The sequence below is a fragment of the Homo sapiens genome, chromosome 6, assembly GCF_000001405.40.
Source record: "Homo sapiens chromosome 6, GRCh38.p14 Primary Assembly".
Taxonomy (NCBI): domain Eukaryota; kingdom Metazoa; phylum Chordata; class Mammalia; order Primates; family Hominidae; genus Homo; species Homo sapiens.
In genome coordinates this window covers 149101318-149123619 of record NC_000006.12, presented here as the reverse complement: position 1 = coordinate 149123619, position 22302 = coordinate 149101318, and the positions used below count along the sequence as shown (strand labels likewise).

Below are 22302 nucleotides of genomic sequence, written 5' to 3'. Positions count from 1 at the left end.
TCTCAGCCTTCAGAGAATTGAAGAGAGTTAGGGCCTTGTTCTGGATAAGGCTTTGGCTTAAGAGAATGTTGTGGTTGGTTTGATCTTCTATCCAGACCACTAGCACCTTTTCCATATCAACAATGAGGCTTTTTTGCTTTTTTATCATTTGTGTATTCACTGAGTACCACTTTTAAATATCCTTCAAGAAATTTTCCCTTGCATTAACAATTTGGCTAACTGTTTGGTGCAAGAGCCCTAGCTTTTGGTCTGTTTTGGCTTTCAACATGCCTTCCTCACTAAGCTTAATCATTTCTAGCTTTTGATTTAAAGTGAAAGATGAGAGACTCTTCCCTTCACTTGAACACTTAGAGGCCATTGTAGGGTTATTAACTGGCCTAATTTAAATATATTGTATCTCAGGGAATATGGAGGCTTGAAGGAGAGAGATGGAGAAACAGCCAGCTGGTGGAGCAGTCAGAACACACACATTTATTGATTAAATTTGTCATCTTATCAGGGCATGGTTTATGGCGCCCTAAAAAATTACTGTGGCAACATAAAAGATCCTTGATGAGATCACCATAACACATATAATAATAATGAAAAAGTTTGAAAATATCGTGAGAATTGCCAAAATGGGACACAGAGACAGGAAGTGAGTACATGCTTTGGAAAAATTGTGTTGATAGACTTGCTTGACACAGAGTTGCCATAAACATTCAATTTGTAAAAAAGAAAAAAAAGTAGAATCTGCAAAACATTACAAAATGAAGTATGTCTGTAGTGTTTTCCATAATGGCTGTACAATCTATATTCCCACCAACTGTGGACAAGGGTTCCCTTTTCTCCAGACCCTCACCAACATTTGTTATCGCTTTCCTTTTTGATAATAGTCATCCTAACAGGTGTGAAATGATACCTTATGGTGGTTTTAATTTACATTATATTTTTACTTTTAGTCCCCATGTGTTCATTTCTAATATATAGAAATATAATTGGTTTTTGTATGTTAATTTTGTGTCTTGTGAACTTGCTGAACTCATTTATTTACTCTAGAAGTTTTTTTGTATATTCTTGGGATTTCCTATGTAGACAGTCTTACCATCTGCAAATAGGAACAGTTTTGTTTCTTTTTTTCCAATCTGTATGCCTTTTATTTCTTTTTCTTTTTCTTCACTTATTGCTCTGTCTAGCACTTGGAGCGCTATGTTGAATTAGAGTAGTGCATGTGGATATTCTTGCCTTGTCCCTAATCTTAGGTGGAAAGTGTTCAACGCTTGTAAATGGTATTAATACACCAATCAAAAGGCAGAGATTGGCAACGTGGATTTAAAAAAATCACCAAAATCTATCCTATGTACAAGAAACTTGCTTTAGTATAAGGATATAGGCAAGTTGGAAATAAAAAGAGAAAGAGAAAGTGGATTTTCAAGCAAAGAAAATTACCAGACACAGATAAAGACATTATATAATGATCAAAATGTCAATGCATCAAGAAGACATAATAGTTCACTCTTCTTTAGTTTCCAAGTCTCTGGAGATTTTCTTATCTTTCTGTTACTGATTTCTAGTTTGATTCTTTTGTGATCAGAGGACATACTCTGTATGATTTCAACTATTTTAAATTTATTGGGAGTGTGTGTGTGTGTTTATGACCCAGGGTATGTTCTATCTTGGTATATGTTCTGTAGGCACATGTAAAGAATGTGCATTCTGCAGTTGATGGGTGGTGTTGCTACTATCCTATGGGGTGAAGTCCTGTTCCCTTTTCAGCTTTGTCTGACATCACCCTGGCATGAGGTAGGGGTGGAGAGTGGGGCTGGGGTACCTTGTTGCAGTTGGTAAAGACGAAAGTCTAGGCTCCCCTCTTGGCTTTTTCTGGTGTGAGTGAGCCATAGTTTTTTCTGCGGTGTTTGTAGGAGAGTGGTTATTGTTTAAAATAACCAGTCCTACTTGGATGCCCTTTCCTGGCCCTTTGGCTAGAGAAAGTAGGCTTTGATTGAGATTTTCTTTTGTCTGTGCCCATTGGCATTCCCAGTTGCCAGCTTCTTCAGCTCCAAGTCTGGGCTTTACGAGGCAAGAAGAAAATCCAGGGAACTCACCACCATGTCATTCTTTGGGTCCCAAGTTCTCCAGCTGATTTGCCCTCTTCTTTCTACCTTTCAGGGTTTCCCGATGTTTGTTTTATACAGAATGTTCAGGGTTTTTAGAAGTACTTAGCAGAAGGAATAGGGGAAAACACTTCTACCCCATCGTCTGGGAAGTAGAAGTCAGTCTTTCATGGTTTGACAAACGCTGTTAACGTGGAAAGATACATGATGTTCTAGATCTCTTCTGATTGGTTGTCCAATTCTTTCTTTTTCTGAAAAAGAGTCCCCAAATAAGGCCAAATAATTACTTCCCTTTGGGAGAGTCTTGATGTGAATGAGGCTGCGATGTTGCTTGGGTCACTGTGAGTTTGTTAGACTCCACCCCCTACCCTTCTTTTTCCAGAAAGTAAAACTTGGGCTTCCTGTATTTGTCTAAAGTGGTTTGTTCTTGGAGTATGTTCTGCATCCAGAGTGCCAAATATCTTCTGGAACTGAGGCCTGGACACAGATTAAGGATAAAGTTAAGGCTACTTAGGTGAAGCAGCCATACCACGTGGAAGCCAGAGTTGCAATGTGAGTGGTCTCAACCAGGAGAAAGGCCCTGTATTAATGTGCTAGGGTTGCCATAACAAAGTACCATGGACTGGGTGGCTTAAATAACAGGAATTTATTTTCTCACAGTTCTGGAGTCTAGAAGTTCAAGATAATGGTCTCAGCAGGATTCGTTTCTTCAGAGGCCTCTCTCCTTGGCTTGTAGATGGTCATCTTCTTCCTGCATCTTTAGGTGGTCCTTCCCCTGGGGCCTGATCTCCTCTTTTTATAAGGACGCCAGTTAGATTGAATTAGGGCCCACCCAAATGACCTCATTTTAACTTAGTTACTTCTTTGAGACCCTGTCTCCAAATACTGGCACATTCTGAGGTACTGAGAGTTAGGACCTCAACATGTAAATTTGGAGAGACATAATTAAGCCCGTAACAATCCCCAAATCAGGAAAATGAGAGGTGGAGGCAAAAAAGGGCAGAATGAGCCCCATGTTGAGAGACTTCAGGATGGGCCAGGTCAGCAGACGAAGTTCTGCGAATTTTGCTGAATAGTTTTTCCAGCTGACCCTGATGTGATGTTTAATCCCTGTTTCTCTTCCAAAGGGTCCTGGCCTTGCCTAATTCAACTTCTAACTTTTGTTTTTTAAACCAAAAAGGAAAGTTAGGTGCCTAGGGAAAATTTCCCAGACACTCAATATGTGTCAAATATATTTTAATTTTTTATTGTGATATACAAGTACATAAACTACACCAATCTAAAGTGTGTCACTCACTGTTTAAACATGTGTACATATTTGTAGCCACCATCTGGATCAAGGCATCACAAGTCCAGCACTCCAGAAAGTTCCTCATGCTCTTTCCAGTCAATCCCTGCCTCTCCACCTGGAGGTAACCACTCCAGACATGTGCTCCTGACCTTCATATAAGTGAAATAATAAAAGACATATTATTTTGTGACTGCTTCTATCTTCTATTGTGAGACTCATCTGTGTTGTGAGTATTAGAAGTGTGTTGCCTTTATTGCCAAGTATTATCTTATTATGTGGATATAGCATGAGTTATTTATTCATTCTTTTGTTGACAGACTTGTGAGCTATTTCCAATTTGGGGCTATTTTACATAAAGCTGCTATGAACATTCTCGTACATATCTTTTGGTGGATCTATGCACAAACTGCTCTCAGGTACATAAACCTAGGAGTAGAATTGCTGGGTCATTTCAAAGCTACTCATTAAATTAAATTTGATAAACATATACATGAATTTAAGTCAATTCTTCCTTTTGTTAGGTTATTTTTAGCATCAATTCTGTGGACTCCAATCATGACTTTCATATGTCTTTGCAATATCTAGTTATGTCATAAATTTAATTGAAGGTGCAATAAACTATTCTTAAAATGCCCTCTTAAAAATGTACTGATTGACATTTTACATTAGCAGTAAGATGCAATAAGGTGGGAGCTATTAAAAACAAAATAGAAGATGTGTCTTGAGACCTTTTGGTGGGGTGTCACCAATCAAAATACAACAGTTTTTTTTTTTTTGCCACAGGCTTTATGGAAGGAAGAGATAAAGTACAAACTGCCCAGTAATGGTATGAATCATACAACTTCTCTTCCTTCATTTCCTAGGGGACTGTTGACTTTTTGGCTATAAGAGAGAAACAGAATTGATCATGTATGATCAGAATGACCCTTGATCATCAGGAGTTCAGAGCTGCTGAGTGATTTTTAGACTGAGGTGAAGTCGAGGCTCAGAGAGGGAAGGTTTTAGAAAGCTGCTCCAGACACCATGTAGCTGTGTTGGTTCCTGAGCTGCCCAGGGGAAAAATACACACATCTGTGACAACAGGATTGAGCTCCTCTGGATTTTCATCAACCCTTCTATTGCCTGGACTACAGGCTCCCAATGGTGTGCCCAGACTTGGGTTCCTTCTTCTCAGTGAGGCCTGGTGGGGTATGGGGTTTCCAGAGCTTCCTGGCCTGTTGTTTCTGGCTGTGAGTGGCCCTGCTTATTTACCTTGTTCCCCAGTGTGTGGTTCAAATACGATCATGTTTCCCATGCACCATGACAACAGAGAGGATGGGAAGCACTGTATTGGACCATGTTCCCTAAAGTTAAGTTGTACAATGCACCCCACACTTTTCTGGGAGAACTTAAGTTTCATTGATTCCCGTTTCCAGAGGCTCCATACACAGAATCTTCCTTTCTGTTTCAACTTTTTTCTTCAGTGCCCCACATGAAATAACTTTTGTAAACAGGTATGGTATAGACAAGCCATCCGCTTATTTCCCTTTCAGGCCAAGCACTCCCAAGAGAACTGTAAGACCTGGGGTAGACACGCATGATGTCTACCTGGGAGGACACGAAAGAACTGGGCATCTTGTGGCCATTTGCTGGGAAATGGCGAAGACCACCATAGACATGGAAGTCCTCTTCTGTGGATCAGTGGCACTGCCCCAAGCCATAGAACAAAGAATGATGACCAGAGAGGGGTATGGGGGCTCCTAATGCTGGTGAGGAGTGAGGGATGGGCAAGGAGACCTGAGCCCACAGGATCAGCAGATTGCTACCTCTCCTTCCAGAGACAGAACACAAGGGCCACTGTGGAAATCTTTACTTGATGGGGATCAGTTTGGGGAGCAGTACGCAGACCCTTTCTGCCCCAGTGCCTTTTGCAAATGCCGTTGGGGCAGTGAGGGTCTGTGTACTGCCCCCTGTATGATTATTAAATGATTATTAGATCTAAGTCATTTTTAAAAAGAGAGAGATATAGAACCACTGATTATAGTTTTTGATGAGCACAAGATAAGTGGCCACCACCTGGAGCTGATGTGACTCTTGCCAGGAGCAAGGCAACTCAGCATTTTGAAACTTTTCTGCCTAACCGTAGTGCAGAACTAGGTATGATTTCTCCTAGCTCTTATAGAATATCTAAACTAGCTAAGGGATCCCCTGTTTCTGCCACTGTGGATACCAGCTGTCTGGGGGAGCTATGGCTGTTATGTAATCACCAGAGACCTTAGTCTGTGTCACTAGCAGACTCCAGGGAAATTTCTTCTGTAGCACACATCCCCTGGGGTTCTGGCCTGATCCCAGGTTCCCTGAGATATGGTGTCTACTCTGCCTTCTCCTCTCCGCCCCTGCCCCACCCTTGATGCGGGTACTTAAGGAACTTAGGACAATTTGGAACTTTCAGGGCTCAGCACATTGTGACTGGAAAGAGAATAGGGTTTGGGATCAGACAGACCCGTGCTGGCCATACAGTCTTGTTATTTACATTTGCTAAACCTGTGTCCTCATCTCCCAAATGGAAAATATAATAGGATTCACTTCCTAGGTTCTCATGAGGCTTCAGGGAGAAAGTGTCTAAAGCACCTGGCACACAGTAGGCTTTTCAATGATGTCCTGTTCCCATGTCATGGTTTCTCTGTGCCCTCAGAAGAGCATGGGACTGAGGGTGTGTGAAGGCTCTGCTTCAGCAACTCAAAACCAAGGGCATCTCAGAGCTAACCCAGGACCTACATTCTGAACCACTGGCAAGTGGAGCAGCTTCCCAGGGAAGCTCCAGGTTGGCCCAATAATAGACTGAATCTGATGAAATTAGAATGGAGCCAGGCCAGCTAGAGAGAAGACAGTAACTAGAAAGTCAGCAGCCTGTCATGAAAACTAAATGGCCCCATCTAGGACAGTAAATAACAATCTGGAGACTCGGGGCAGCATGAAATACCTTACCATCTATGCAAGCAATTTACTTCTTGACAGGATCAACATTTTCACATCTCCACTAATGCTAGCAACTGCCACTAAGAAAAATTAAACCTCATGGTTCTTTGAAGCCACTGTTTAGTCAGGTTTCTGTTACTTAGAGCTGAACATAAACACTAACCAACCCAAGATGGGGTGATGGTGAAGAAGGTTCTAGAAATGGAGTAGCAAAATCAATCAAAGAACCAAAGAGATGAGAATGAAAACTTGGTTGGAAGAGATGCAACACTTGGCAATCTGCATTTTGTGGGGAGACAGAGATTTTATGAACATCCAGAACTCATTTGCATACATCCCTGGGCCAAATGGGTATCTCAGGGAAAGAGAAATCACAAGTAGCCTGATTGAGCAGCCAGTGCAAGTCCTATATGCAAATTAACACTTTGGGCATATCAGGCTATCGATAATGAACTTTATTTGCCTGGCTTGCCATCCGGGCTGGATCACACCTAGGGACACATAGTATTGCCAGTTTCCTAATATAATCTAACTTTAAACATATTACCATCATTCTGGATGTAACAACATGCTCTTAGTTTTCCTTTCATAATATCCTGGATGGACTCCACTTGCCTTCCTGGAACCGAGCCCCCGTCGGGCAGTGGAAAAACCAAAGCTTGAAGCCACAGCCATTTGCTTAACCCAGCACAACTAAGCAGCTGGAAGACCTTGACCAAGCCACCTAAATACCCTGTGCTTCGGGTTTCTCATCTGTCAAAAGACAACAGCCATCCTGACTTCAGTGGATTGTCATAGAGCATGGCGGAAAGGGCTTAGCACAACGCTGGTCACGCTGCAGGCAAAGAACTAATGAGTGGTACCTACTCCCTGCCTTGCCAACTCCCCTGTCTCCCCTCACTGCTCATACTAAATTGACTCTGAGTTTTACCTGCTCTTTTAAATCTGACATCAAATCAGGAATTCTCCACTTTGAAACGCTTCCATATGTGGACTCTGCCTGTGCTGGTACCTGAGATTGCTTTCCCATGCATCAAGTGATGAGTTTGGCCCTTTCCTCTCTGCTGCCTGAGTTCCTGAGCTATCACTAATGATTGCTAATGGTCAGCATCCCCCATACTCTGTGAGGCCCTGAGGTTAGGACCCTGTTGTGTCTGTTGTTCTATCTCCAGCCCCTAGGACAGTTCTTGATCCATAGTTAATGCTCACAGACTCGTGGAATAAATGAGTGAATGAATGAAGTCCTTGAGCATCGCATAGGTAGCACGGAAATGTCCTAATAAAGTACTTTGTGTAGGCAAAGGCTCAGAAAACTTTTGTGGAACAAAAACATTTCAGTCCTACCTTCCCAGCTTTGGTGACTCTAATTGCTATGAATTCTTACCACTTCCTTCTTTTTTTTTTTTTTTTTTGAGACAGAGTCTAGCTCTGTCGCCAGGCTGGAGTGCAGCAGCCCGATCTCGTCTCACTGCAACCTCTGCCTCCCGGGTTCAAGCAATTCTCCTGCCTCAGCCACTCAAGTAGCTGGGACTACAGGCTCATGCCACCACACCTGGCTAATTTTTGTATTTTTAGTAGAGACGGAGTTTCACCACGTTGGCCAGGATGGTCTCGATCTCTTGACCTCGTGATCTGCCAGCCTCAGCCTCCCAAACACTTCCTTCTTTTTCAGCAAGAGAAGTAACCAGGGCAGCACAGAAACCCTCTAGAGCTATACAACCCTGTAACTATGTTTTATAATAGCTCCGTTCTTTCACAAACCTTCCTCCTTCCTGACCTACTCAAGGGAGGGAAACTGGGAGCATTATCAAAATATCAGTAGCTTATCTCTGAAAAAAACATTTTTCCCTGGCTGTCAAATTGAGCATAGCTAAGCACATTTAAGAGATTACAATGGAACCTTGAAATTATACCTTGTAATAGTGACAACTACCACCACAACTGACATTAACAAGCTCCAGGATGTGCCAGGCAGTGTCCTAAGCATTTTGTTTATCAGCTCTTCCCAACAACCTTATGACAGAGGCAACATCAGCATTTTACTGATGAAAAAACCAAGATACAAAGCGGTTAAAGAACTTGCCTAGAGTTACTAGTAACTGATGAAGCTGAGATTTGAATCAAGGCTATCTAATCTAGAACTGGAACTCTTTTTTTTTTTTTTTTTGAGATGGAGTCTAGCTCTGTCACCCAGGCTGGAGTGCAGTGGTGCAATCTCGGCTCACTGCAAGCTCTGCCTCCCGGGTTCACGCCATTCTCCAGCCTCAGCCTCCCAAGTAGCTGGGACTACAGGCATCCGCCACCACACCCAGCTAATTTTTTTGTATTTTTAGTAGAGATGGGGTTTCACCGTGTTAGCCAGGATGGTCTCAATCTCCTGACCTTGTGATCCTCCCGCCTCGGCCTCCCAAAGTGCTGGGATTACAGGCATGAGCCACCGCTCCTGGCCTAGAACTGGAACTCTTAACCACTGAGCTATACCAAAGTTTATTATTATTATTTTGGCCCCAAAATTGGGTAACACTGATCCAATCAAAAGACTTCTTAGTTTTTGGCTTATTGAATAAAACTCCTGAAAGTACAATTTCACATACATGTCACCCCGCTTCCCCCAACTGGCTCTCAAAGATAATATCAAAGTGAAATTCTGCATTAGCTTGCTTAGTCCTATTATGGCCTAGTAAATGTTTTTCTATTTTGTTTAGAAGAACTTGTAATCTGGTTCCCACTCTTCTTTCCTTGCATGTTTTACAGAACACATCGTGCTTGCAGAGAGAGCAAACCATGCCTGTCCCTTGTGGAGCCCACAGTGCTATGTGCTTAGTGTGGCAGTTGGGCCAGGAATGAAAACAACTACACCATAGTAACAATCCGTCATTCTGTCCATCTGCTACCCAAGAGGGATCTTAAAATAGTTTCAATTCACCTTTAAAATCCACTGCTCTATGAAGGGCTTGTAACACTTGGCGGCCTTGGAAGCCTGCCTGAGAAACAGGACTGCTATTCGGACTACTGGTGTCCAGCTGTAAGCCTCCTTGGAGGGAAACAAGCCATCCATTCATTGGGCTGTTGTGAAATTTTCCTTCCCCACCAGCCCTCCCAGCCAAGAAGGAGAATACCTGGAGGAATGGCATTCTGAATTTTTGTTCTTCCTAATGTAGGGCCTGAGTTTTTATTTTCTTAATGGCCTACTCTTTTTTTTTCTTCCTGCTTAACCCTCTTCTGCTCCAACTCCCCAACCCTACAGCTTTCCCCTTCTTTTAGCTTTTCTTTCTTCAGCTGAGGGATTGGGTGTGAGTCGAAATTTTATGGTCTAGAATTTCCAAATTGATTCATGGGGTAACTATCCCCAAACCAGCACAGTTTTAATTAGGGTAGGAGTAATGAAATGGGAGACTCCCTGGACCCCTTTGTGGGACTTTCAACAGGGGTGTGGCTTGTTTGCTCTGCCACCACATGCTCAAACCACTTACAGGAGGGGAGCATGCCGGTGAGCAGGTGCCGGAGCCAGGGTGAGCACTTTTGGGCTCTGGCCCCATGGCAGTGTCTACGAGTATTACAGTGCTCTTTCAGCCCTGCTGTCCAGGGATGGCTTAAGTGTTAAACAGCTCAGTGAAGAGTCAGGGTGACAGCCTTTTTGGGATTCTGCACCCAGTGCATCCCAAATTCTTGCCTTGCATCCAGGAAGAATCAGGTTACATGTACTTGAAAGATGGTGAATGCGGGGATTTTACTGGGTGATGGAGGTGGCTCTCAGTGGGATGGGAAGCTGGAGAGGGGATGGAGTGGGAAGATGATCTTCCCCTGGAGTTCAGCCATCCTGAAGCTGATCTCCTCTCCGACTGCCCCCAGCCAAACTCCTCTCAGGTGCTTCCTCTCTTCTCTCATTCTCTGCCATGCCGCTCTGCTGCTCTGCTGCTCTGCCATGCTTCTGCTCGTGGAGCAGATTTTTATGGGTACAGGATGGGGGGTGTGGTGGGCCAGGGTGGTCTTGGAAAAGGCAACAGTTGGGGACAAAAACAGGAATGCCTATTCCCATTTAAGGCCTTGGGTGACCAGGCTTGAGGGTGGGGCCTTTGCTGGGGAACCACCCTCTACTACCCGGTATTTCCTTGCCTCTTGTGCATATCAGTAGTATGAGTGAAGTGAGACCTTCCTGGGCAAACCCAGACATCTGGTCCCTGGGGTTAGCTCTGGCTCCACTGAGCAGCACCAAAGAGCATGGAGATGCTCAGCATGTGGCAGCTGGAGAGAACAGCATCACCCTTTGTTGGCTCCTGGTTCTGGTGCCTAATTGTGTTCTAGATCTCGACAGGGCACGGCCAGTGGGGATTAAAACAGGACAGAAGATTCTCCTTTTTGCTATTTCCATTTTTTTAAAGGTTGCATTCTCAATATTCTAGTAGTCTAGCCTATCAGATCTCTGTGTGAATTTGAAAGTTAGATCGCAAAATTTCAGTCTCACACATTTTTTTTTCCATTTTAATTTTCGTTTAGGCTGTGAAACCTAGCTTAAAATAAACTTAGAGTAGTTTTTGTTTCTTACGGGAGATGGCATAGGCCTTAGATTATTTACTGTCTCTTTCTGAAGAATTTAACGCAAACATGGATATCAGACCAAATCATACAATTTATATCAACAATATGAATGACAAAATTAAAAAGGAAGAATTGAAGAGATGCCTATATGCCCTGTTTTCTCAGTTTGGTCATGTGGTGGACTTTGTGGCTTTAAAGACCATGAAGATGAGGGGCAGGGCTTTGTCATATTTAAGGAACTGGGCTCATCCACAAATGCTTAGAGACAGTCACAAGGATTTCCATTTTATGGTAAACCAATGCGAATACATATGCAAAAACAGATTTGGATATAATATCTGAAATGTGTGGCACTTTTGCTGACAAAGAAAAGAAAAAAGCCAAAACTGTGGAACAGACTGCAACAACCACAAACAAAAGGCCTGGCTAGGGAACTCCAAATTCAGCTAGTACCCAAGGAAATTCAACACCAAATCCTCAGGTCCTCGATTACCCTCCAAACTATATTTTATTCCTTAATAACTTACCAGAAGAGACTAATGAGATGATGTTATCCATGCTGTTTAATCAGTTCCCTGGCTTCAAGGAAGTATGTCTAGTACCAGGGAGGCATGACATTGCTTTTGTTGAATTTGAAAATGATGGGAAGGCTGGAGCTGCCAGGGATGCTTTACAGGGATTTAAGATCACAACATCCCATGCTATGAAGATCACCTATGCCAAGAAATAAAATTTGGGAGAGTCATCTTTAAAGGACTTGGTGTTATTTATAGTGTTTGTTTTGCTAACATTTGGTTGGGTCATTGTAATAGAGATTAGGGGAAGTGAAAGTGAAATTTTTGTGAAGGACTTAAATTATCTAGTATTTCTTTAGCCTTGGTGAATTATGAAATACGAAGGCCTTAATTTTGTACAATAAACTTTGATTTGTATTCTGTGAAAAATAAATAAATAAACTTAGAGCTACGCTTCATATGCATTCTCTGGGGATAATGCTATCAGATCAAGAATATCTTAGAGGTGTAATTGCATATATTCTCACTTGTCACCCACACCAAAGCCATGAGGTAGGTGGCACAGTTGAATCATTTTTGAACATAGAACATGCCATTTTGATTTAAAATCAAATTATGGCAACTAGAGCTGGGCATGGTGGCTCATGCTTGTAATCCCAACATCTTTGGAGGCCGAGGTGGGAGGATCACTTGAGTCCAAGAGTTCAAGACCAGCCTGGGCAACATAGAGAGACCCTTGTCTCTACAGAAAAAGAAAAAATTAGCTATGCATGGTGGCACAGCTGTAGTCCTAGCTACTTGGGAGTTGGAGGTAGGCGGATGGCTTGAGCTCAGAAGGTTGAGGCTGCAGTAAGTTGTGATCGTGCCACTGAACTCCAGCCTGGGCAACAGAACAAGACCTTGTCTCAAAAAAAGAAAAACAAAACAAAAACAAAAAACAAACAAAAACCAATAAATTGTGGCAACTAGGAAGAAAAAGGGTATGGAGAATCAATACCATTAAACATAGTCTCACTGATGACTTTTTTCCATACTTTTGGTTGAAGTATAAACATATAGATATATCATTCTAAAACCTACCATTTGTTAGGTGTTTTTTGTTCTGAGTAATCATAGCAAGCAGTTATGTTTGCAACCAACAGCCATTTGCACCTGTGCCCCCTGAGTCCCCTGTCCAGAGCCTCACCAGCAGAGCCACCTGTATTTAATACTGAAAACACTAGCTTTCCCAGCTCCCCTTATTGCCATCAGCATCTAGTTAAATCCCGGTGAATTAAACCAGAATGAAAGTCTTCCCTGGAGCTTCTGGAAAAAACCTTCTTCTTTAGTTAAAAGATCTATGCAAGGGAAAATTAGTGCCTCTTCCTTTTGGATAGAGACTGAGCTGCAGCAGTTCTCTTGCAACCTCGAAGGGACAATCCTGAGGATAAATGACAACTCACTGAAGGTAGCCGAGCAGAAAGATGACAGTCACCTGGGTTCTTTTCCACCTCATTAAGCCACTAAGCCAACACTGAAAATACCTACCTCTGGGCTTCTTGTTTTATGAGAAAACTAACATCTTTATTTTTCAAACCACATTTAGCATGATGTTACTTGCATCTAAAAGCATCCTTAATGATTCACCATATAAATGGTGTTGCTGTAGTTCACTGTCAGACTTAATTTCCTTTTTATAGGAAACTTTTTGTAACATTTCTTTTAATCTCTTGAAATTAAACATCTAGGTAACAAAACTTCTAAACATAATTTTGAAATTCAATAGAATATTCTTACTGGAATATAAATGAGAAATGTTAAAAAATAATTTTAAAGAGGAATATACATTTAAATATGTAAATGCTTGGGTACAACTACAACAGATGACATGATAAAGTAGTCAGAGCTTGCATACCTATGTAGAATCACTGAATATAATGGTTCTCACATGTAGCATGATACAGGTGTGCTTCGCCGCTGGCTCAAATCCCAACAGAGGTGTAGACATTAGCATTGAGATTTTTCAAAAGGTGAACAGCTCTTGGTAAAGTTCCAACCAAACAATCTACAATCTCACATGGACTTATGTGGTAGCTGCATTTTTGGAAAATTCAGTGTACCTTAAGAACTGTACAAAAATTACTTTGTAACACAGAGTTAGGATCCAGAATCACAGATCTATAAATATGTTTTCACCTACATGAATATCTGATGGTACAATTGGGAGTCATGTGAGACTTTGGACAATTCTTTGCAATGCAGAATTAGCCTAGACATTGCAACATGTCTGGTGTCTCACCCAATAAACATTGACGGTGGCCCCCTGATTATTGTGACAACCAAAACTTGCCCCCATAGGTTTAGAAAGCATCCTCTGGGGACAGTCCTGCAACCGTCTCCCTCACCACAGAGGACAATATCCTGGGGCAGGCACTCTTGGTTGTTTGCTCTGCATAGATGTCAGAAGCACTCCTTATTTCTGACTCTGCAAGTCTTAGACATGCTTCCATGGGTGGGTAGGTGGAGGGAAAGTACAGAAGCAAATGGTGGATTGCTTAGGATCGGTGCTATTACTGTATTTCAAGAGTCACTGGTTCATTGCTTTCTCGGTTTGTGTGCATTTTTTTCAAGGGATCCCCACTATGTGCAAGGAATGATGGTAGACACAGAGTTGACTAAGATTTCCTTCCTGCCCTCAGGGAGGTAGAAGACTAAAATAGAAGCAGAGAAAAGTATCAAATTTTAAGATGGCGCAGGTGTTCTTAGCCTGAGGTCCCAGAAATGTGCTTCAGGGGATCCTCTAAAACTCTTGAAATTACAGACAACAATGCATGTGTGTGTGTGTGTGTGTGTGTGTGTGTGTGTGTGTGTATTTTTGAATAAAGGGTGTATAGATTTAATCACATTCTCAAAGAACTCCAAGACACAATAAAGGTTACAGCTGATGCACAGGGCAGGCTGATACACAGGTGGCAGCCTATCTGATGGATTTTTGGAAGTTGCCCTCTGCTCCAAATATCTCTTTTACTCACATTTCTTTCACTGAACTTCTACCAATAGAGATTCATTCTAATGAATGGATAGTTAGCATGGATCTCTCCAACACTGATGCTCCAACAACTTTCAAGAAATGTCTATTGAGCTTCTGCTGAGTAGCAGGCACTGAACTAAGGACCAGGGATGCAGCAGTGAACAGAATGGAGCTCACAGCCTGGTGAAGGAGCTGGAGTAGGAGCAATATGCAGATACAGGGAGCACTGAGGGGCAACTTGACCCCAAGGCAGTGGAGAGGTTCTCAGGAAGAGATAAGCGATCCTGGGCTGTGCTGATGTAGCTTGAGTAACAGCTAGCCGTCTTGTGTGAACAGAGGGTCCCAGTCCATGAGGACACTGCCTTGGGCCTGAGGACACTGCTTTGGGCCTGTGGACGTGGGCAGGCTGCTGAGGTGGGAGGTGGAAAGCCTCTTACAGCATGGGGCCTCAGCTGTGCCTCAGTTTTGCTTGGGTTGGCCTCTGGGGGAACAGGGGGCCTTGCAGGATGACCCTGATAGCATAATCTGCGTTTTGGTGTGCATTTAAGATTCCAGTTCACATGGGCTTCTAGTCATATGTCGCAAGAGTGTTTGTAAAGCAGACTGCAGACTCTCTGGGATTGAAGGGTGAAGTGGGAGGGAGGTTTATAACCTGGAAACTATGTGCTGACTGTGGCCCTGTTGAGATGCAGTGTGGTTTCTATGGGGTTCCTTCTGGACCTCATACATTTCAGTTTCCCCTGGAACAAGGCCTTTGCTGAGAAAGAAAACATACATTGGCCATGAAAATGCAGAAGCGCTCCATGGGTTGCTCCAAGCAGCTCTCTAAGCAGAGGCTTAACTTGTCCTGAGGCCATCTTGTCTTTGGAAACTCTAACCAAGCAAAACACATATCTTTTTATGCCTTTCCTTTCTTTACACAGACATTGACTAAAAAGGAGCAGGAATAACTGCCAATTCAGTAGGCTCCTTGCTCTTTTGTGCATTTTAAAGGCATTTGGTGTTTGGGATTTGGAAGAAAATCATGAGAACTGAGAAGCTCTGGCTGTCTTGGCGGGAAGCAGGCTCATTGTTTGCAGAGAGAGCTGGTTTCCATGGTTTTGGACTATAGACAGCTGCGTTTTTGTTTTTTGTTTTTTTTTAAAGAGTAGTTTCTACTTGCAATTGGATCTAATAAATAGTCAAGGTAGCCAGTCTCCCAACAGCAAAAGGTCTTTGAGTTATTTGGAAACACCCTAGTATGTTATCATTCACGACCAACTGTACCTGGTTTTTAGTTATTAAAAGTCATGCATTCTCTCAGGATAGGGCCTGTTTGGCCCAAATTCTGCTTTATCGAGGGCAGCCAATTATATTTCAGGCTTAACGTTCTAGTCTTAAAAGTGAACACATTCCTTTCTTTTAAACGACAGGAGACTTGGGATGGTCTGGGATAGGAACGCAGGGTGGGGACCTGCAGTCCTGCAGGCCTGAGAGGCAAGTGCTGGAGCTGAGGCCATGGGAGGCTCATGGTTTCCCCTCCTCCCCTAAGCCCGCTGGCACAGCAACCATATGGTGCACTGTAGGGAAACCAACAAGTGAAAAGTGGCCATTTTACTTCTGTCACTGAAGTAGGACACTGGACAAACTTTTGCTTCTTTTTTTCATGACCTATAAAGAAGAACAAATTAAACTAAAATGAAAATAACATTTTTCAGCCAGGTGCAGTGGCTCATGCCTATAATTTCAGCACTTTGGGAGGCCAAGGCAGGCAGATCACTTGAGGTCAGGAGTGCAAGACTGGCCTGTGGTGAAACCCCATCTCTACTAAAAATGCATCTCATGCTGAGGCATGAGAATCGCTTGAACCCGGGAGGTAGAGGCTGCAGTGAGCTGAGATGGTGCCACTGCACTCCAACCTGGGTGACAGAGCAAGACTTCATCTCAAAAAAAAAAAAAAGAAAAAAGAAATAACTTTTTTTTTTAATTGGGACACTGACTTGGAATTCAGAGGGATCAGGTAATGAATTTAATAATTTCCATGTTAGCAGCAATATTAAAGCAATTACAGGGTCCCTTGTATCTCGAGCAGCAGGCTTGGCATAGTGGATGGAACAGTGCAAAAGTCTAGGTCTCACCAGCATGCCAACATTACCTGTGGCCCTTACAACCTTTTAGCAGAAACCTGTACTCTTTCTAAACAGGGTTGAACTGTGTGATTATGCTCAAAACCTTTAATGTTGCCCCAAAAAATCTTCTGTAGGATGTTATGTTCTTTTCTCCCTTTCCTGAACTTATGGCTGGTGTTCTGGCTTACTTTTTATTTTGTTGGCTTTATTGTCATTGGCCCTTTGCTTGCTATTAGATTTTCTTCTGTCTAGATCTTGGTTTCCAACTGGATTTTTAGTCCTTTGGGATCAGAGACTACCAGATCATTTAATTTTCTAATGTGCTCTGTTTCCCCACCTAAGATGGATTTCTGAGTCTGGCACAAAACCAACTGGGAATACGTCAGACTTTCCTTCCAATGACACTTTCGTCAAAGAGAACGAGAGATAACCCTTTCCCCATCTTCTTTAAGCATCATGGTTGTTGTGGGTTAGCAGTTTCTTAGGATCACTTACACACAAATTTACCACCAAATATATAAACTGCAGAATGGGATCTATCGGAGAGCCTTGGTAGAATTAGATTAGTGGTGACTTAGAGTGGGATTGGAGAAGCTAAGGAGGGGCTGATGCTTTAATCAGTGCTGTAAGCACTGCAACAACTTGTTTTTTTGCAGCCACTGCCTGTCCTTTTGGCTAGAACAAGATTTCTCCCCTAAGTGACTTACATTTTCTCACTCTCAGTGGAAGATACATTTGGCTCAGGAACCATTATTTCTCTTCCTTGGGGACCAATCTGAAAGTAAAAATATTAATCATCTTCATAATCACAGACATTTCTTTTCATGTAACAGAGCACCAAACCCTTCATGGCCAGGTAGGTATGTTCAAATTAATTTAACTCACCCTGAAAGGAGAATTCCTAGGAGAAGAAGAAACTCAAAGATGTGCCCTCCAGGGTGAGGGTCCCAAAGACCTTCGGCCCAAACTCATTCTCGCCTCCCTGCAAACTCTGTAGCTTGGTTGACAGATGTGGTCCAGACTCAGGAAGATTGTCCTTAACCCAATCCAATCTTGTAAAATGATATTTAAGTCACTTTCTCAAGTACACTTTCAGGTAATCAATACTATTTTTAAAAAACTCATTGCAAGCTCAATGATAACATGTTAAAATTAGTGCATTTAATGTTGTTTTCCATTTATCGGAAATCTGAGTTACTGCTATGGTGAAATAAAAAGTGTCTACCTGTAGTCTATCGATGTATGTAAGAGAAGATGATAGATGGGAAGGTAGATAAGAGTGAAGAGGAGAGTGGATGACAGGATAGAAGAGGAGGGAACAGGAAGGGACAGGGGAGAAATGGCAAGTAGACACACACGTATGGAACTGGTAAAAAAAAAAAAAAAAAAAAAAAAAGTAGCCCCACAGCATGCTTGGAAGTGAGAATTGATTTTAGTCACCTCCCTTTTTCTAATATTCAGTGTCTTCTGCAATTAAGAATGTTAAGTTAGAAGGAATACTGGTACATGATGTGTGGTGTATGGAATTTGGAATCAGAAGACCTCGATTTGAATCCCAGCTCTGCTTTCTTCTTAGCAATGTTGAGTTCAGGTAATTTACTTCATTTCTTGCATCTGAGTGGCCACTTGTGTGAAATACAAATAATACCCCCTCAGAATTACTGTAAGGACTCAACTATTAGGTTGATGCAAAAGTAACTGCCGTTTTCGAAATGACTTTTAATGGCAACACCGCAATTACTTTTGCATCAATCTAATAGCATGTGCACTTTGAGACCATCAAAGAATGCTAGTTATTATCACATCCAGAGTCCTCTTAAAAGAATCTTGTTGCTCTGTAAGAACTTACCCGCCTTGAAGACAAATAACAGACATAAAATAGGTACTCTTCATTGTGTGTTTCACTATACAGAGAAACTTAATATCTTGAAAGAACCTGAATAAGCAAAGATGTAATCATATTTTAAAAAATGTTAACATGTATTTCTGTAAAATGTGAAAAAAGTACTCATTTAATATATATTTTTATTTTAAAAAGTTTTAAAATTGTATATAGTTGGTGGGTACAAGTGCAGATTTCTTCCATGCATACATTGCATAGGGTGAAGTCTAGGCTTTTAGTGTGCTTATTACCCTAATAGTGAACATTTTACCCAATAGGTAAGTTTTCAACCCTCACCCTCTCACCCCTTCCCACCTTTTGTCATCTCCGATGTCTATTATTCCACTCTGTGTGTCCATGTGTATCCATTATTCAGCTCCCACTTCTAAGTGAGAATATGTGATGTTTGACTTTCTGTTTCTGAGTTATTTCACTAAGGATAATGGCCTCCAGTTCCATCCATGGATGTTTCATCCATATTGCTGCAAAAGACATGACTTCATTCTTTTTTATGACTAAGTAGTATTCACACACACCACAGAATACTACTCAGTCATAAAAAAGAATAAAGTTATATATATATATATCTTTTAGATATATATATATGTGTGTGTATATATGTATATTAATATATATATGAGATCCAAAATATGAGATCTAGATGTAGATCTCACATTTTCTTCGTTCAGTCCACCATTGATGGAGTTAGGTTGATTCTATATCTTTGCTGTTGTGAATAGTGCTGCAATAAACACATAAGTGCAGGTATCTTTTTTTTTTTTTTTTTTTTTGAGACAGTCTTGCACTGTCACCCAGGCTGAAGTGCAGTGGTGCAATCTCAGCTCATGGCAAAGTCTGCCTCTCAAGTTCTAGTGATTCTTCTGCCTCAGCCTCCCAAGTAGCTGGGATTATAGGCATCCACCATCACGACCGGCTAATTTTTTTTTATATTCTTAGTAGAGACAGGGTTTCACCATGTTGGCCAGGCTGGTCTTGAACTCCTGACCTCAGGGATCCACCCACCTCAGCCTCCCAAAGTGCTGGAATTACAGATGTGAGCCACTGTGCCCAGTCAGCATTTTTTTGATATAATAATATTTTTCCCTTTCGATAAATACCTAGTAGTGGGATTGTGGATTGAATAATAGCTCTATTTTTAGTTCTTTGAGAAAGTTTCATACTGTTTTCCATGGTGGTTGTTCTAATTTACATTCCCATCAACAATGTATAAGCATTTCCTTTTCTCCACATCCTCACCCACATCTATTGTTTTTAGCAGTTTTAATAATAATAATAACCATACTGACTGGTGTAAGATGGTATCTTATTATGGTTTTAATTTGTATTTATCTGATGATTAGTGATGGTGAGCATATTTTAATATGTTTGTTGGCCACTTTATGTCTTATTTTTTTTGAGACGGAGTCTTGCTCTGTTGCCCAGGCTGGAGTGCAGTGGCGCGATCTCAGCTCACCACAACCTCTGCTTCCCAAGTTCAAGCGATTCTCCTGCCTCAGCCTCTCTAGTAGTTGGGACTACAGGTGTGCACCACCATGCCTGGCTAATTTTTGTATTTTTAGTAGAGACAGGGTTTCATTATGTTGGCCAGACTGGTCTCAAACTCCTGACCTTGTGACCTGCCCACCTTGGCCTCCCAAAATGCTGGGATTACAGGCGTCAGCCACTGAGCCTGGCCTCACTTTATGTCTTCTTTTGATGAATGTCTCTTCATGTCCTATGCCCACTTTTTCATGAGGTTATTTGCTTTTTTCTTCTTGAGTTGTTTGAGTTCCTTGCAGATTCTGGATGTTAGCCCTTTGTTGGATGCGCAGTTTGCAAATACTTTTCCCATTCTGTAGGTTGTCTGTTTACTCTGTTGATTGTTTCTTTTGCTGTGCAGAAGCTTTTTAGTTTAATTAAGTCCCATTTGTCTACCTTTGTTTTTATTGTGTTTGCTTTTCAGGACTTGGTCATAAATTCTTTACCTAGGCCAATGTCCAGAAGAGTTTTTCCTAGGTTTTCTTATTTTTAAGAAAACGAGGGTTTTTATAGTATCAGGTCTTATGTTTAGGTTGTTCATCTACCTTGTGTTAATTTTCATATGTGGTGAGAGGTACGGATCTAGTTTCATTCTTCTGCATATGGCTATCCAATTTTGCTGGCACCATTTATCGAATAGAACATCACTTCCCCAATGTACATTTTTGTTGACTTTGTCAAAGATCACTTGGTTGTAGGGATGTGGCTTTATTTCTGGGTTCTCTATTCTGTTCCATTGATACATGTGTTTATTTTTATAACAGTACCACACTGTTTTGGTTACTATAGCCCTTGTAGTATAACTTGAAGTCAGGTAATGTGATGCCTCCAGATTTGTTCTTTGTGCTTAGGATTACTTTCATTATTTGGGCTCTTTTCTGGTTCCATGTGAATTTTAGGATCATTTTTTCTAATTCTGTGAAAAATGGCATGGGTAATTTGATAGGAATTGCATTGACTCTGTAGATTGCTTTGGGTACTATGGTCATTTTAACAATATTGATTTTTCCTGTTCAAGAGCATGGGATGTGATATGGTTTGGCTGTTAAAATCTCAACTTGAATTCTAATTCCCATAATCCCCACATCAAGGGAGAGACCAGGTGTGGGTGATTGAATCAGGGGGGTGGTTTCCCCCATGCTGTTCTCATGATAGTGAGTGAGTTCTCATGAGATCTGATAGTTTTATAAGGATATCTTCCCCCTTTGCTGGGCACTTCTTCCTGCTGCCTTGTGAAGAAGGTGCCTTTCTTCCCCTTTGCCTTGCACCATGATTGTAAATTTCCTGAGGCCCCCCCAGCCAAGCTGAACTGTGAGTCAATTAAACCTCTTTCCTTTATAAAATTACCCAGACTTGGGCAGTTCCTTATAGCAGTGTGAAAACGAACTAATACAGGATGTTTTTCCATTTGTTTGTGTCATCTATGATTTCTTTCATCAGTGTTTTGTCATTCTCCTTATAGAGACCATTATTCTCCTTGGTTAAATGTATTCCTAGGTATTTTATTTTTCTTATAGCTATTGTAAATGGGATTGCTTTCTTGATTTGGTCCTTGCCCAGGTCATGATTGTTGTATAGAAATGTGTCTGATTTCTGTATGTTAATTTTGTATCCTAAAACTTCGCTAAATTCATTTATCAAGTCTAAGAATTTTTTGGGTAGTGTCTTTAGGGTTTTCTAGAGATAAGATTAATCATCAGCAAAAAGGGATAATTTGACTTCTTCTTTTCTGATTTTGATGCCTTTTATTTTTTTTTCTTTTGCCTGATTGCACTGGTGAGGACTTCCACTGCTATGTTGAATAAGAATTATGAAAGTGGACATCCGGCATTATTCACAATAGCAAAGACTTGGAACCAACCCAAATGTCCAACAATGATAGACTGGATTAAGAAAATGTGGCACATATACACCATGAAATACTATGCAGTCATAAAAAATGATGAGTTCATGTCCTTTGTAGGGACATGGATGAAATTGGAAATCATAATTGTCAGTAAACTATCGCAAGAACAAAAAACCAAACACTGCATATTCTCACTCATAGGTGGGAATTGAACAATGAGATCACATGGACACAGGAAGGGGAATATCACACTCTGGGGACTGTTGTGGGGTGGGGGGAGTGGGGAGGGATAATATTGGGAGATATACCTAATGCTAGATGACGAGTTAGTGGGTGCAGCGCACCAGCATGGCACATGTATACATATGTAACTAACCTGCACAATGTGCACATGTACCCTAGAACTTAAAATATAATAAAAAAGTAAATAAATAAATAAATAAAAAAGAAAGTGGACATCCTTGTCTTGTTCCAGTTCTTGTAGGGGATACTTTCAACTTTTCCCCATTAAATATGATGTT

The 22302-nt window shown here is 41.5% G+C and overlaps 1 pseudogene, besides 2 other annotated features; it reads left to right on the top strand.

Moving 5' to 3' along the window:
• Positions 5593–5887: a silencer, noted in NCBI's record as "tiled region #12512; K562 Repressive DNase matched - State 5:Enh". NCBI's record gives its function as "represses a minimal TATA promoter and a strong SV40 promoter by Sharpr-MPRA in K562 cells {active_cell/tissue: K562}" and the evidence as "EXISTENCE:reporter gene assay evidence [ECO:0000049][PMID:27701403]".
• Positions 10332–10441: an enhancer, noted in NCBI's record as "active region_25246". NCBI's record gives its function as "activates an Ori minimal core promoter by ATAC-STARR-seq in GM12878 lymphoblastoid cells {active_cell/tissue: GM12878}" and the evidence as "EXISTENCE:reporter gene assay evidence [ECO:0000049][PMID:35858748]".
• On the top strand, positions 10876–11832 carry LOC729200 (small nuclear ribonucleoprotein polypeptide B2 pseudogene; annotated as a pseudogene).